Here is a 17646-nt window from a genome sequence, read left to right as displayed (position 1 = left end):
GTTTCAAACTATACTACAAGGCTACAGTAACCAATACAGCATGGTACTGGTACCAAAACAGAGATATAGACCAATGGAACAGAACACAGCCCTCAGAAATAATACCACACATCTACAACTATCTGATCTTTGACCAACCTGACAAAAAGAAGAAATGGGGAAAGGATTCCCTATTTAATAAATGGTGCTGGGAAAACTGGCTAGCCATATGTAGAAAGCTGAAATTGGATCCCTTCCTTACACCTTATACAAAAATTAATTCAAGATGGATTACAGACTTAAATGTTAGACCTAAAACCATAAAAACCCTAGAAGAAAACCTAGGCAATACCATTCAGGACATAGGCATGGGCAAGGACTTCATGACTAAAACACCAAAAGCAATGGCAACAAAAGCCAAAATTGACAAATGGGATCTAATTAAACTAAAGAGCTTCTGCACAGCAAAAGAAACTACCATCAGAGTGAACAGGCAACCTACAGAATGGGAGAAAATTTTTGCAATCTACTCATCTGACAAAGGGCTAATATCCAGAATCTACAATGAACTCCAACAAATTTACAAGAAAAAAACAAACAACCCCATCAAAAAGTGGGCGAAGGATATGAACAGACACTTCTCAAAAGAAGACATTTATGCAGTCAAAAGACACATGAATAAATGCTCATCATCACTGGCCATCAGAGAAATGCAAATCAAAACCACAACGAGATACCATCTCACACCAGTTAGAATGGCGATCACTAAAAAGTCAGGAAACAACAGGTGCTGGAGAGGATGTGGAGAAATACAAACACTTTTACACTGTTGGTGGGACTGTAAACTAGTTCAACCATTGTGGAAGACAGTGGGGTGATTCCTCAGGGATCTAGAACTGGAAATACCATTTGACCCAGCCATCCCATTACTGGGTATATACCCAAAGGATTATAAATCATGCTGCTATAAAGACACACCACATGTATGTTTATTGCAGCACTATTCACAATAGCAAAGACTTGGAACCAACCCAAATGTCCAACAATGATAGACTGGATTAAGAAAATGTGGCACATATACACCATGGAATACTATGTAGCCATAAAAAATGATGAGTTCATGTCCTTTGTAGGGACATGGATGAAGCTGGAAACCATCATTCTCAGCAAACTATCGCAAGGACAAAAAACCAAACACCACATGTTCTCATTCATAGGTGGGAATTGAACAATTAGAACCCTTGGACACAGGAAGGGGGACATCACACACCAGGGCCTATTGTGGGGTGGGGGGAGTGGGGAGGGATAGCATTAGGAGATATACCTAATGTAAATGACGAGTTAATGGGTGCAGCACACCAACATGGCACATGTATACACATGTAACAAACCTGCATGTTGTGCACATGTACCCTAGAACTTAAAGTATAATTAAAAAAAAAAAAAAGAAACACACTTCACCTATTAAAACACACAAAGAGTGAAACAAAGGGATGGAAAAAGACATTTCATGCAAATGGTAACCCAAAAAAAGCAGGAGTAGCTATATTTATATCAGGTAAATATAGATTTCAAGATAAAATCTATAAAAAGAGACAAAAAGGTCATTATGTAATGATAAAGGGATTAATTCAGCAATAAGATATTAACAATTTAAAGTATATATGCACTGAACACTGGATACATATATAAATATATATCTAAAGCAAATATTATTAGAGCTAATATTATTAGATATATAAAGCAAATATTATTAGAGCTAAAGAGAGAGATAGACCCCAATAATATAATCACTGGAGACTTCAACACTCCACTTGCAGCATTGGACAGATCATCCAGACAGAAAATCAACAAAGAAACATCAGACTTAATCTGCACTATAGATCAAATGGATTTAATAGATATTTACAGAACATTTCATCCAATGGCTCAGAATACACATTATTCTCCTCAGCACATGAATCATTCTTAAAGGTAGACCATATATTAGGGCACAAAACAAGTCTTTAAAAATTCAAAAAAACTGAAATCACATTAAATATCTCCTCTGACTACAATGGAATAAAACTAGAAATCAAGAGGAACTTTGGAAACTATACAAACATATGGAAATTAATCAATATGCTCCTGATGGACCAGTGGGTCAATGAAGAAATTAAGAAGGAAATTGAAAAAACTCTTTAACAAATGAAAATAGAAACACAATATACCAAAACCTATGAGATGCAGCAAAAGCAGTACTAAGAGGAAAGTTTAAAGCAATAAGTGCCTAAATAAAAAAAGTAGAGAAACTTCAAATAAACAATCTAACGATGCTTCTTAATGAACTAGAAAAGCAAGAGCAAACCAAACCCAAAATTAGTAGAAAAGAAGCAATAAAGACCAGATCAGAAATAAATAATATTGAAATAAAAAACAACACAAAAGATCAATAAAATGAAAAGTTAGTTTTTTTGAAAAGATAAGCAAAACCAAAAGAGCTTTAGCCAGAATAAGAAAAAAAGAAAAGATCCAAATAAATAAAATCAGAGATAAAAAAGGAGACATTACAACTGATACTGCAGAAAGTCAAAGGATCATGAGAGAGCACTAGGAATGACCATATAACAATAAACTGTAAAACCTAGAATAAATGGATAAATTTCTAGAAATATAAAACATACGAACATTGAACCATGAGAAATCTAAAACCTGAACAGACCAATAACAAGTAATGAGATTGAAGCCATAATAAAAAGTCTCCTAGCGAAGAAAAGACCAAAACCCAATTGCTTCACTGCTGAATTTTACCAAATGGTTAGAGAGGAACTAATACCAATCCTACTCAAATGATTTCAAAAAATAGAAGAGAGGAGTATTCTTCCAAACTCATTCTATTAGGCCAGTATTACCCTGATACCAAAACCAAAGACACATCTAAAAAAAGAAAACTACAGGCCAATATTGCCTGTAAAAGATACTAGTAAACCAAATTCGACAACTCATTAAAAAGATTATTCATCATGACCAAGTAGGATTTATTCCAGGGATGCAAGAATGGTTCAACATATGCAAATCAATCAATGTGATACATTCTATCAACAGAATGAAGGACAAAAACCATACGATCGTTTTAACTGATGCTGAAAAAGCATTTGATAAAATTCAACATCCCTTCATGATAAAACTCTCAACAAATTAAATATAGAAGGAACGTACCTCAACAAAATAAAAGCCATATATGACAGACCCACAGCTAGTATCATACTGAATGGGTAAAACCTGAAAGCTTTTCTTCTAAAATCTGGAACAAGAGAAGGATGCCCACTTTCACGACTGTTATTCAACATAGTACTGGAAGTCTTAGCTAGAGCAATCAGACAAGAGAAAGAAATACACAGCATCAAAATTTGAAAAGAAGAAGTCAAATTATCCTTGTTTGCAGATAACATAATCTTATATTTAGAAAAACCTAAATACTCAACCAAAAAACTGTTAGAACTGATAAATTCAGTAATGTTACAGGATACAAAATCAACGTATAAAAATCAGTAGCATTTCTATATATAATCAGTGAACAATCTGAAAAAGAAATCAAGAATGTAAGCCCATTTTCAATAGCTACAAATAAAATAAAATACCTAGGAATTAACCAAAGCAGTAAAATATGTCTGATGAAAACTATAAATCATTGATGCAAGAAATTGAAGAGGACACAAAAAAATGGAAAAATATTCCATGTGTATGGATTGGAAGAATTAATATTGTTGAAATGTCCACATTTCCCACAGCAATCTACAAATTCAATGCAATCCCTATCAAAATATCAGTAACATTCTTCAAAGAAATAGAAAAAACAATCCTAAAATTTATATGGAACCACAAAAGACCCAGAATAGCCAAAGCCATTGTATTAGTCCATTTTCATACTGTTATGAAGAAATACTCAAGACTGGGTAATTTATAAAGAAAAAGAGGTTTAATGTACTCACAGTCCCACATGGCTGGGAGGCCCACAATCATGGTGGAAGGCAAAGGAGAAGCAAAGGCGTGTCTTACATGGCAGTAGGCAAGACAGCATGTTCAAGGGAACTGACTTTTATAAAACCATCAAATCTCATGAGACTTATTCACTATCATGAGAACAGCACTGAAAAAACCTGACCCCATGATTCAATTACCTCCCACCAGGTCCCTCCCATGACACATGGGGATTATGGGTACTATAATTCAAGATGAGGTTTGGGTGGGGACACAGCCAAATCATATCAGCCATCCTGAGCAAAAAGAACAAAACTGGAGGAATCACATTTCCTGACTTCAAATTATACTACAGAGCTGTAGTAACCAAAACAGCATGGTATTGCTATGAAAACAGACACATAGACCAATGGAACAGAATTGTGAACTCAAAAATAAATCTATATATCTACAGTGAACTCATTTTTGACAAAGGTGCCAAGAACATACATGGGGGAAAGGACAGTCTCTTCAATAAACGGTGCTGGGAAAACTGGGTACCCATATGCAGAAGAATGAAGCTAGACCCATATCCCTTGCCATATGGAAAAATAAAATAAAATAAAAATGAATTAAAAACTTAAATATAAAACCTCAAACTATGAAACTGCTAAAAGAAAATATTGGGAGAACTCTCTAGAACATTGGTTTGGGCAAAAATTTCTTGAGTAATACCCCAAAAGCCCAGGCAACTAAAGCAAAAAATGGACAAATGGGATCACATCAAGTTAAAAAGATGCTGCACAGTATATGAAACAACCAACAAACTGAAGAGACAACCCACAGAATGGGAGAAAATATTTGCAAGCTACCCACCTGACAAGCAATTAATAACCAGAATATAAAAGGAGCTCAAACAACTCTATAGGAAAACAAATCTAATAATATTTTTAAAAATTTGGCAAATGATCTGAATAGACATTTCTCAAAAGAAGACATACAAATGACAAACAGGTATATGAAAATGTGCTCAACACCATTGATCATCAGAGAAATGCAAATCAAAACCACAATCAGATATCATCTCACTCCACTTAAATGGCTCATACCCAAAAGACAGGCAATAAGGAATGTTGGCAAGGATGTGGAGAAAAGGAAACTCTCATACACTGTTGGTGAGAATGTAAATTAGTATAGTCATTATGGAGACCAGTATGGAGGTTTCTCAAAAAACTAAAAATAGAGCTACTGTGTAATCCAGCCATCCCACCACTAGATGTATACCCAAAAGCAAAGCAATCAATATCTCTAACAGATATCTGTACTCCCATGTTTATTGCAGCACTATTCACAATAGTCAAGATTTGGAAGCAACCAAAAGTCCATAAACAGATGACTAGATAAAGAAAATGTGGTACATATACACAATGGATTATTATACAACCATAGAAGAGAATGGGATACTGTCATTTGCAACAACATGAATGGAACTGGAGGATATTATGTTAAGTGAATAAGCCAGGCACAGAAAGACAAACTTCACATCTTCTCATTTATTTGTGGGAGCTAAAAATTAAAACAACTGAACTCATGCAGATAGAGAGTAGACTGATGGTTACCCAAGGCTGGGAAGGGTGGTGGGGAGAGGGAGAAAGAGGAGACAGTTAGTGAGCACAAAAATATAGTTAGATAGAGTGAATAAGATCTAGTATTTGATAGCACAACAGGGTGACTATAGTAAACAAAAATTTATTGTGTGTTTCAAAATAACTAAGAGTGTAATTAGAATGTTTGTACCCAAAGAAATGATAAATGCTTGAGGCGATAGATACCCCATTTACCCTGATGTGATTATTACACAATGTATGCCTGTATCAAAATATCTCATGTACCCTATATATATTTATCCTGACTTTGTATCCATAAAATTAAAAATAATTTAAAAAATATGAGCACCAGAGGGTTACTGGCACTTTCTAGAAAATAGAAATAAAATCTTTAGATCAGATGAAAACACCAGTTACCACAAAGAAATTTGGCCTTTTTTCCTTACAAAGGGATCTGAATTGACCAAAAGACTTAGGATTTCACCAAGGTATGGGGTTTCCAGAAAAGTTTTGTTTGGAAAATATTTGAAAAAGAAAATAAGAATGATTTGGTATTCAATATGGCAAGATTTTTCAGGTATCTTTTATTGGTATACAAAGATTCATTAAGAACAGAAAACAAGGAACCTAACTGTTAGGTAACGTAGACCAGAGCAAGCAAACAGGTTAGGATAGAATAAGAAGAGAAGGAGAATTTATAGAGGGCAGTGTACTGAATATGAGCATTTTACTAAGCTCTTAACTTGGGTTTGTATAAGCCATTATGGGGTAGGTATTATTATTCTTGCATGAAGAAGGAAACTGAGCCAGGGAAGGTAAGTAATTTTCCCAAAGATCCTCAGTGGAAGAGGTAGGATTCTAATTCAGCCCATGCTTTTAAACTGCTCCCATGGACTCCTGACTCTAGGGGCTGCATTTTTAACCATGATGCTGTCCTCCCCTGAAGGGTCCTCCCCTTAATCTAGAACAGTTAAGGAAAAGCAGAACAGAGGCTCAATAGAGGCAGTCCTGGGTCTAGCTTCACAGCATTCCTGTCACACTGACAGATAAGTATGATTTATTTGAGTCTCTTTGTTAATAAATATCTGGGCCTATCTTTTTTTTTAATTCCAGGACTGTGTGCTTAGGGTGCGCTTAGGGTTTCTTCAGCCCAGCCACATTACTTCTTAAGTGAATCTGACTTCAATGTAGAGAAACTATTCATTCAGTAGGTGCATTGAGTTTTGCCACCAAAACTTGGGAATTAGAAAATCTATAAACAGTTTAATGGCAAGTGCATCCCTGGGAAGTAAGATGAATAAAACTCACCTTCATTAGTTCAGTCAAAACTATGTAAGTAAAACTGCATACATTATGAAAGAAGGAAAGCATGCTATTTAGTGATACTGAAATGTTTGTTGAAATAATTCATGTTAGAAACGATCGCAATGATTCAGTTATTTTTGATATCAATTCTGAATCACTACGATCATTTAGAACATGATTTTTATTAACAATGAATAACAACAATGTAGACAGGTTAAGAAGACAAAATTAAGGTAGCTTTAGGTCATAGAAAGTAGTATAATAATGGCCATACATTTAACTGTGTAAAATTTCATTTTAACTACAATAGTGTGAAGCTAGTGTAACATTAAATGACCCAGAATTATTGTCATGAACATGGACAATTGGAGCACATGGAATGGTCTGTCCTGATTCTGTGCCATACACTTATATTTCTGTATCTGATTCATAAATTCTTTTTCTCTTGTTGCTGACAGTTTGCAGCAATGCAATGTTCTCCAGCAGTTACTGCCTGTGATAGACACATTGTGTGAAGGCTGCCTAGCTCCCTGTAATCCCTTTAACTACTCCCTGATACACAGGAGTAGGATTCTAGAAGCCAAGTTTGTTTATAATGACCCCATTCCTGGGAATGGTTAATTGCATAAAGGGTGGGCAGCTGACTGTTGTTAGGCTAATTCAGGTCCCTTCCCAGGCAATGTGGAATCTGGAGCCAGAGTGAGTGTTAAATTCTCTGTGTGTCTGTAATTGTAACATGTGAACTTGGGAAATATGAGAAGCTGTCTTCTGCCCATCACATGATCTGGATACTTTCTTTCTAATAAAAAAAGAAAAGATAGGCTTAACAAGAAGGAGAAATAAGAGGCAGTGAAACAGTGCCAAGGATTGCCAATGGACCCATTCCCAGTTCCATTCCTTCCTGGAGCCCGGAACATTCCTATCCTTGGGATCCATAAGGTATCTCCATAGCCTGATAATAAATTTTTCTTTTCTTCCTTAAGTTCACTTCCTCCTTCCTAATAGCTCTCTAAATTTTCAGTCACATATTTTTAGTAGAATTGGCTCCAAATCTCAGTTCCAGAATAGGCCCAGGGTGAAGCCAGTTAATATAAGATACCACATTGTCCTGACCATGGTGATTGGTGCAGCAGTGGACACGTGACTTAATTTGGGCTGATTGAGGTATTAAGAGAATTTCATGGGAGTTTATGAGAAAACAGTTTCCCTTTTCATGCTTGAGAGTCAGCAAAAAAGACCTCTGGTGGGCATAAATGAGGAGGTATTTGTACTGGGTGCTGCTGACAGACACATTACAGCTATGCGGGAAGACAGATTTGAGATAAAGCCAGAACCCTGCAGAAACACACACACACACACACACACACACACACACACACACACACACACAAACTGGATTCTTGGCCAAGCTTTGCCTTTAGCCATGTATGATATGACACTTACATGGATGATAAATTTTATTTTAAATCTGCTATGAGCACTATATTAAAAAGCCAGAATAATTAGAACATGAGGAGAGATTCAAGGAAATCTATTAAATAAAGTACGCAGGTGCCCGTGCAGGCATGTGTGTTTAAGTACTATTTTTACCTGCTCCAAGGTCTTTTGGGGTTTATTTCCTAATTCTTGGATTTCTCAATAAGCAAGACTACCAAATAAAGGAATTCAGGATAAGTCTTAGCATATTTTAGTAATGAAGGAGACCTTGGAAAGATGAAATAACTTTGTATATAATCCATTTTATATATAATCCATGAAAGTTATTGCATATCTTCAGACATAAGTGTAGCAGGTTGTGAAATGCAATTTGCTGATTGAGAGAATCTCCTACACTTCATTTCTTTGTTATGTATAAGATTGTCATTCAATTTTGGATTTTAAGTGATTGCAAAGTCTCCCTTAATAAAATTCTGTTCTAGTCAGTATATTCATTTTTGGAGATGAATACTGTCAATAAGATGGATATAAATTTTCTGTCTTAGAACAAAGACACTGAAAACTAAACAAAAAAAATCCAGTATGATCATATGGTTTAGAATCCATTAGAAAGCTCTACAATTAACTTATTTAGATATGTGTAAATTATATTTTTCACACCTGGAATATTTTTGTAGCCTCTTTGCTACTATCTATTCTATGACATAGTCGTTATTGTCAAACTTACACATGAAACACAATTTATGAAGTTTTGTGGCTCAGTTGAAAGAAAATTAAGAGATATTTTATAAAGTCTTTTAAAATAATAAAAATTACAAGCTCCGGGTCTTTTTAAACATCAAATAAATGATGCATAATCTATTATGATTAATAGATTTATTTTTCTATCACAAGTGTAATGTGCATAGAAAGAAATATAATTATTCTCTCTTCGCTTCTGCACAGCAAAAGAAACTACCATCAGAGGGAACAGGCAACCTACAGAATGGGAGAAAAATTTTGCAATCTACCCATCTGACAAAGGGCTAATATCCAGAATCTACAAAGAACTCAAACAAATTTACAAGAAAAAAACAAAAAATCCCATCAAAAAGTGGGCAAAGGATATGAACAGACACTTCTCAAAAGAAGACACCTATGCAGCCAACAGACACATGAAAAAATGCTCATCATCACTGGTCATCAGAGAAATGCAAATCAAAACCACAACGAGATACCATCTCATGCCAGTTAGAATGGCAATCATTAAAAAGTCAGGAAACAACAGATGCTGGAGAGGATGTGCAGAAAGAGGAACGCTTTTATAATGTTGATGGGAGTATAAATTGGTTCAACCACTGTGGAAGACAGTGTGGAGATTCCTCAAGGATCTAGAATTAGAATTACCATTTGACCCAGCAATCCCATTACTGGGTATGTACCCAAAGGATTATAAATCATGCTACTACAAAGACATGCACATGTATGTTTATTGTGGCACTATTCACAATAGCAAAGACTTGGAACCAACCCAAATGTCCATCAATGATAGACTAGATTAAGAAAATGTGCCTGGCTAATACGGTGAAACCCCATTTCTACTAAAAATACAAAAAAATTAGCCGGGCATGGTGGCGGGCGCCTGTAGTCCCAGCTACTTGGGAGGCTGAGGCAGGAGAACTGCGTGAACCCAGGAGGCGGAGGTTGCAGTGAGCTGAGATCGCGCCACTGCACTCCAGCCTGGGCGACAGAGCTAGACTCCATCTCAAAAAAAGAAGAAGAAAATGTGGCACATACCCACCATGGAATACTATGCAGCCATAAAAAAGGATGAGTTCATGTCCTTTGCAGGGACATGGATGAAGCTGGAAACCATCATTCTCAGCAAACTATCACACGGACAGAAAACCAAACACTGCATGTTCTCACTCGTAGGTGAGAACTGAACAATGTGTCCCCACCTTGGACACAGGGTGGGGAACATCACACACCGGGGCCTGTCAGGGGTTGAGGAGCTGGGGGAGGGATAGCATTAGGAGAAATACCTAATGTAAATGATGAGTCGATGGGTGCAGCAAAACAACATGGCATATGTATACCTGTGTATCAAACCTGCACGTTGTGCACATGTACCCTAGAGCTTAAAGTATAATAAAAAAAGGAAAAAAATTATTCTCTCTTCAATATTTAATACTGTTGATCCACTCCCATTTTTCTTCCCCGTTGGTTCCCTGATACACACTGTCTTACCTTTCAGATTATGTCTTCTTTGTCTTTTTCCTTAGTATCTTTTTTTCACTTTGTGTTTGTATTAATTAGATTATGTTCAGCTAAAAGTAACCAAGACCGAACTACAGTGGTTTATACACACCATGATTTACTCTCTGCAGTAAAAGAAATCTGGTTACAGAATGCCCAGAGTTGCTATACAACAGCCCCACAAAGTCAACAGAATTCAAGTACTTCTACTTTGGTCCGTCCACCAAATATGGCTTCCTCAAGTCTACCCCATGGCCAATGTGATGCTAGAGTCAGCCATCACCTCTGCATTCCAAGCAACAGGAAGGAGAAATGGAGAAATAGGGCTTACTCTTTCCATACAACACTTATGCCTACAAATAATTGGCTAGAACTTAGTCATGTGGCCAACAACTGCATGGAAGGCTGAGAAATGTGGTCTTTTATTTCAGGAGGTGATAGGCTCAGCTAAAAGCATTTTGTAGGCTGGGATCAGTGGCTCACACCTGTAATCCCAGCCCTTTGGGAGGCCAAAGCGGGCAGATCACTTGAAGTCAGGAGTTCGAGACCAGCCTGGCCAACATGGGGAAACCCCATCTCTACTAAAAACACAAAAATTAGCCACCAGGGGTGGTGGCAGGAGTCTGTAATCCCAGCTACTCAGGAGGCTGAGGCAGGAGAATCGCTTGAACCCAGGAGGCGGAGGTTGCCGTGAGCCAAGATCGCGTTATTGCACTCCAGCCTGGGAGACAGAGCAAGACTCTGTCTCAAAAAAAAGTTAGCTTCTTGTTACTAAAGAAGATGGGGGAAATGGCTATTGGGTAGGTACCTAGCAGTCTCTGCAAACCTTCTTTTATCTGACAGTATATTTATTATACATTGGTAATCTGAACTAATCCCATTATTCCATGCAGAGCCCCTCAAATCTCTTTCAGCTTCTGTTTCCCTTCAGCCTTCCCTTTCCAATTTACAAATTCCTGGTAGAGTTTTCCATCCAGATCTTTCTCAAGATAGATTAGAATCTCAAATTCAACAATCTAAACTAAATTTATGATCATCTTTCTAAACCCCCAAACCAATTTTCACATAGTTCTCTGAAGCTTAAAGCCTACAGGCACACAACCAATACCACATGAAGCAGCTTTCCGATCCCTCTGTGTTTGCTGCCTTCAGACAACACAGCTTACTATGACCTATATCATGCTTCACATCACAATTTGCTTCTGATTTTATGTGATTATGTAATTCCCATAATAATTTTCATAAAAAAATATTTTTTCCAATTATTTTTGGTAATTTTTCTGCATTTGGCAAAGCCTCCCCAACATGCAGGACTAGCTTCATTATATGCCTCACCATTATGAAAGTAAAATAAGCATTACTGCTTGAAAGGATGCAAAACAAAAGACTGGAAATGTGATTTTGCAACTAGTTCTGAGTTTCCACCAATTCGTCTTCTCAATCAAAACTGTTCTAATTAGATCATCTGGTATGTGCCACACGGTCTTGTGGGTAGAGCAAGGGTCTACTAGGAGTGCTATTTGCAAAGTTCATTAATACCTGTTAGAAGCCATCCACTGGCTCAGATAACTTATGTTCAGATAGGAGCAAAGAGTTCTTTTTATGAGAACTTGGTGTGCAAATAAGCCAAGAAATAGCAGCATCTTCTATATGGCAAATAGAAATGGAGAGAACAATAAATACATCGTATAGGAGGAAAAGAAACCTCAATGTGTTTGAGGAGGTGAAGGGAGAAAGAAAAAGGGAAAGTGAAGAAACCTACTTTTGGTTGTCAGAAAAAGCTCATATGATACAGTCTCTAGAAGGTAATGTTGACACCCAACTTTGATGGCTGTTAAGGAGACATGGGTCGAGGTGAGTAAAATAATACACTACAGGTCCTTTATCCACCTCTCTACCAAAACTGACACCTCTGAAGTCACTAATGCTGAAGGTCCTTGTCTTCATCCTTCCCACCTGGCCTCTCCATAGCATCAGGCACTATAAATTGCATCATCTCTGTAAGCCTCCTCTCTTGTTTTGTTTTTTGTTTTTGTTTTTGTTTTTGTTTGAGATGGAGTCTGTCTCTGTCGCCCAGGCTGGAGTGCAGTGGCGCGATCTCGGCTCAATGCAAGCTCCGCTTCCCGGGTTCACGCCATTCTCCTGCCTCAGCCTCCCCAGCAGCTGGGACTACAGGCGCATGCTGCCACGCCCGGCTGATTTTTTGTATTTTTAGTAGAGACGGGGTTTCACCGTGTTAACCAGGATGGTCTGGATCTCCTGACCTTGTGATCCGCCCACCTCGGCCTCCCACAGTGCTAGGATTACAGGCGTGAGCCACTGCGTCCGGCCTCCTCTCTTGGTTTTTAGGAATTGAAGCCACATGTGGGGGCACAGGACTGTAGTTCCAGCTACCCGGGAGGCTGAGATGGGAGGAATGCTTGAGCCCAGGAGTTCAAGTTCAGCCTGGGCCACATAGTAAGACCCCTGTATTTTTTTAAAAAAGGAATTGAGGAACACTTCTATCTGATTCTTCTACCTCTCTGTTCAGTCCTCCTCAGACTCATTGCTGGTTCCTGTTTCTTAATCCATTTATTAGTCCTGCTGTTTCCTTGAATTTTTCCTTCATTTGCTTTTCTTCTCCTTTTTTTTTCCTGCTGATCTAACTTATTTTTTTAGCTTTAATTTTATGTATAAATGACTCCCAAATCTACATTCCAGTCCTGATTTCTTTCCTTATCTCCAGACCTATATATCTGTCTACTAGATATATCCACCTTAATAACTTCCAGGCATTCTGAACTCAACATATTTTCTTTTCAAATCTGCTATTGTCCTTTCATTGTCTGTTTTGGTTAATGACATCCTATCCACCCACTTGCCCAGGCTGGAAAACTTGGAGTCATCCTAGATTCTTGTATCTTTTTTGTTCCCATCTCACATTTCATCAGTCACTAAGATAGGTGGATTCTTACAGCACATACCACACAGATCCTTGTTGACTTGACCTTCCCCGTGCCCCACCTCCACTACATGAGCAATTTGAAAGCAGAAGCTATGTCTATTCAATTATGAATCCTTAGTTCATACCACTGAGCCTGGTACTTGGTACACTAGTGGCTTTGCAAATGTTTCTGTATTGTTGCTGATTCTCCTGAACACATATAATTTACAAGCATTGCTCAATGCTTGGGTCCAATAAGGCAGAGGTCCCCAACCCTCAGGCCAGGGACTGGTATTAGTCCGTGGCCTGTTAGGAACTCTGCTGCACAGCAGGAGGTGAGCAGCAGTCCAAGGAGCATTATGACCTGAGCTCCACCTCCCGTCAGATCAGCGGCAGCATTAGATTCTTATAGGAGTGTGAACCTCATTGTGAACTGCACATGCAAGGGATCTAGGTTGCATGCTCCTTATGAGAATCTAATGACTGATGATCTGTCACAGTCTCACACCACCCCCAGTTGGGACTATCTAGTTGCAGGAAAATAAGCTCAGGGCTCCCACTGATTCTATATTTTGATGAATTGTATAATTATTTCAATATATATTACAATGTAATAATAATAGAAATAAAGTGCACAATAAATGTAATATGCTTGAATCATCCCCAAACCATCCCCCAACCCCCTGTCTGTGGAATAACGGTCTTCCACAAAACTGGTTCCTGATGCCAAAAAAGGTTGGGGACTGCTGAAATAAGGATGAAGAACATCCTTTGATATATTTGTTTCTTTTAATAGAAAAGCACATGATACATTTACATTTTTCTAGTGGATTATAGTTCTCACTATAATTTCTATAGAGAAATCAAGATTTTTAATTTCTGTACTGAAATCAAGCCCACTTTCCCTTCAAAAGGAAGTACATAAAGGAAAGGATCCCATGAAAATGCCAAATACTATGCAGCCATAAAAAATGATGAGTTCATGTCCTTTGTAGGGACATGGATGAAATTGGAAATCATCATTCTCAGTAAACTATCGCAAGAAAAAAAACCAAACACCGCATATTCTCACTCATAGGTGGGAATTGAACAATGAAAACACATGGACACAGGAAGGGGAACATCACACTCTGGGGACTGTTGTGGGGTGGGGGGAGGGGGGAGGGATAGCTTTAGGAGATATACCTAATGCTAAATGACGAGTTAATGGGTGCAGCACACCAGCATGGCACATGGATACATATGTAACTAACCTGCACATTGTGCACATGTACCCTAAAACTTAAAGTATAATAATAATAAAATAAAATTTTAAAAAAATTGTCAAGAAGTTTCAATGAAGAGTGATTTGCCTTAGTTTGGGTCCCCTCCAAAGTGAGCCTGAGATAAGAACATGGGAGCAGATCTCTCCATATTTGGGTGGTGCTCCCAGGAAGCAGGAGTGAGGGAGAAGGGAGAGTTAGAGAAGAAAAAAAAAAAAAAACAAAAACCAAAAACAGGAAAGAAGGGTTTACTGGTTTACTGAGCTGGTTTCTACTGTGAACAACTGGGACCCAATCCCAAGGAGACCCTCCAAGGAAGTAATGCAGAATGCCCCAGCAGATTGTTCAAGTGCAGAAGAGGCATTTATCTACTGACTCCCTTCTACCCCTGGAGGAAGGTTATCTCCAGGAAAATAAACCTTTCTGCACTCCCGGGCTGCTCATATATACGGGCCAATGAATTCTGCTGATTTTGATAAAAACCACAGGACAGGAAAGAGGAAAGGCTTATGATGGATGCCTGATGTATGATTAATGGCATGCATAGCACTGTTCACCATGGCTGCAGTTGAAATCAAAGGTAAACTGAGAGAAAAACACATCTGTTCTAAGAATGAAATATGATAAAACTAGAGAAACAGGCTTTCTGGGTATCTGAACAGATGGGGGTGGGTGCAAGATGAAGACTTGAATGAGTTTAATGACTATTTCCACTAGAAACATCCTTGGGTGTTCCCTTGCTTTTTTTTAATTTTAAAAGAAATAGGGTAGGCTGGGAAGGGAGCAAGTGGTGAGGAGTGTGTCAGAGCCAGAGATAGACACCTGTATGCTGGCTCCCCCCACCCCAGTTCAACTCCCTACTGACTATCTCTATTTGAGAGGATGCAAAAGCTAAATAGTTTATTTCCCAGTCTTCTTTGCTAGAATACCTAGAATTACCACGTGATATCATTCTGGCAACAAAGCACTAGAGAATGGCCAGGTGCAGTGGCTCATGCCTGTAATCCCAGCACCTTGGGAGGCTGAGGCACTTTGGGAGACTTGAGGTCAGGTGTTTGAGACCAGCCTGGCCAACATGATGAAACCTCGTCTCTACTAAAAATACAAAAATTAGCTGGGCGTGGTGGTGCATGCCTGTAATCCCAACTACTTGGGTGGCTGAGGCACGAGAATCGCTTGAACCTGGGAGGCACAGGTTGCAGTGAGCCGAGATTGCACATCTGTGCTCCCGCCTGGGCGACAGAATGAGACTCTGTCTCAAAAACAAAAACATTAGAGAAAATCTGTTGACACTAACCTCTTTCTCCCTGCTCCTCTTCTACAGTCTTAGATGAACATGAATGTGATGTTCAGAGCTGTAGTGTCCATCTTATAAACATGAAGTGACAAACAAGGAAGAAAGTCCAAACTGATATAGAGGCAATGCAAATCCCAATAGGGCTGGGTCCTATTAAGCCTTGGCCAGTCCAGTCTGTGCAGGCCTCTGGCTACTGCTTCACCTAAACATTTCCTTTATGGAAAGGTGACTAGCTCAAGGAAAATGCTCAAGTCTAGCTCCAATCCAATTATCATAGTAGAATCCTATCAATCAGCGACATCTTTTTTTTTTTTACCTGCCTTGAATTTGAACCATTCATCATTCTATCTCCACCTGTGAATATGGTCTCTATCGTTGTCTCACTCTCCCAGTATTTACCTTCTTTCAGGCTTTTAACCTTCAGTGGTGTCCTTACTCAGTAGCACTCAGCCCCCCTTGCCTTGTTAGCCTGTTCTAGCCTGCCCCACGCTGTTCTCAGCTGCTCTCACCTGCCCTACCATGTTCTACTCAGACAGAGCAGAGATAACATAATGGGGACAGAAAGGACTGGAGAGCATGAGAGTACCCAGTTCCATTTCCCCCCATCTCTAGTTCTGATCAGAATGAAGTTTTCATCAGCTTCCCAGAGCTAGCATTACATTTATGAACTGTTCCATCCTCAGAGGAACAGGAAGGACTCTGGAACAAAGTTTCTTTTCAACTACAGTGCTATGCAGAAGAAGCAAAAATTTGTAGAAAGCAGAATGGGAGAATTTTGCTAGGCTCTTTCTTCTGATATCACCCCACCCTTTTTATATGCCATCCATACAAATTAAATTAATAATGAAATAATTAAATTCTAAGACTAAAATTTTTTAAAAACCAACACAGTTTTTGTTTTCCCTTAGTAAAAACACCAGAAGTCACAAGCCAAACACCAATAACTTGCTTGCCTGTCATCCCTTAAGCCACTTCTAAATCAATCATCCCTTCTCTAGTATGCACTTATCTCCTTGAAGCAGTAACAAGTTCTTGCAGGGCAAGGGCAAGGGGCTTCTATTTCTTTGTAACCCACAAGGAACCTAGTACAGTGTGGTTCACATAGTAGGAGCTCAAGAAGGCTTTAATGAGTGCACGGCACAATCATTTTCTTTGCTCTCATCCAAACACCATCCAAAGTGATTTACACTACTTGTTAAATGGCAGTCTTCTTAGATGGGGATGGAAAATTCCTGCCCTCTTTGATGGTTCATGGGCCAACATGAAATTAGATGGTAGGTGGGTGTTTAGTTACTGTAGGTAGACAACTTTTTTTTCTGAAGACATTGCCTTTTACAGTAATTAGCAATCCCGGTGTTTTTGGATGGGAGGCTGAATGAGTCATGGAGGCCTTCAGGTCACAATTGAAGCAGGTTTTAAAACCACATGGGAAAAACATCTTACCTGAGGAAATCAAAGTGTATAACCATCTATCATGACATCATTATTCATCTGTTCTTGTATTCATTCAACACATAATCGAGTAGCTACTGGACTGGGTGCTAAGCCACATATGCTAGATACTGGGATAGAGTATGAATGAATGAAATAGACAGGCTGCCTTTCTAGCCTACCCTCTAGTAGTAGATACAGACAAGTAAACAGGAAATTTCAATAGAG

Source organism: Homo sapiens, chromosome 4 (assembly GCF_000001405.40).
Source record: "Homo sapiens chromosome 4, GRCh38.p14 Primary Assembly".
NCBI classification, from domain to species: domain Eukaryota; kingdom Metazoa; phylum Chordata; class Mammalia; order Primates; family Hominidae; genus Homo; species Homo sapiens.
This window is presented reverse-complemented; position numbering follows the sequence as displayed.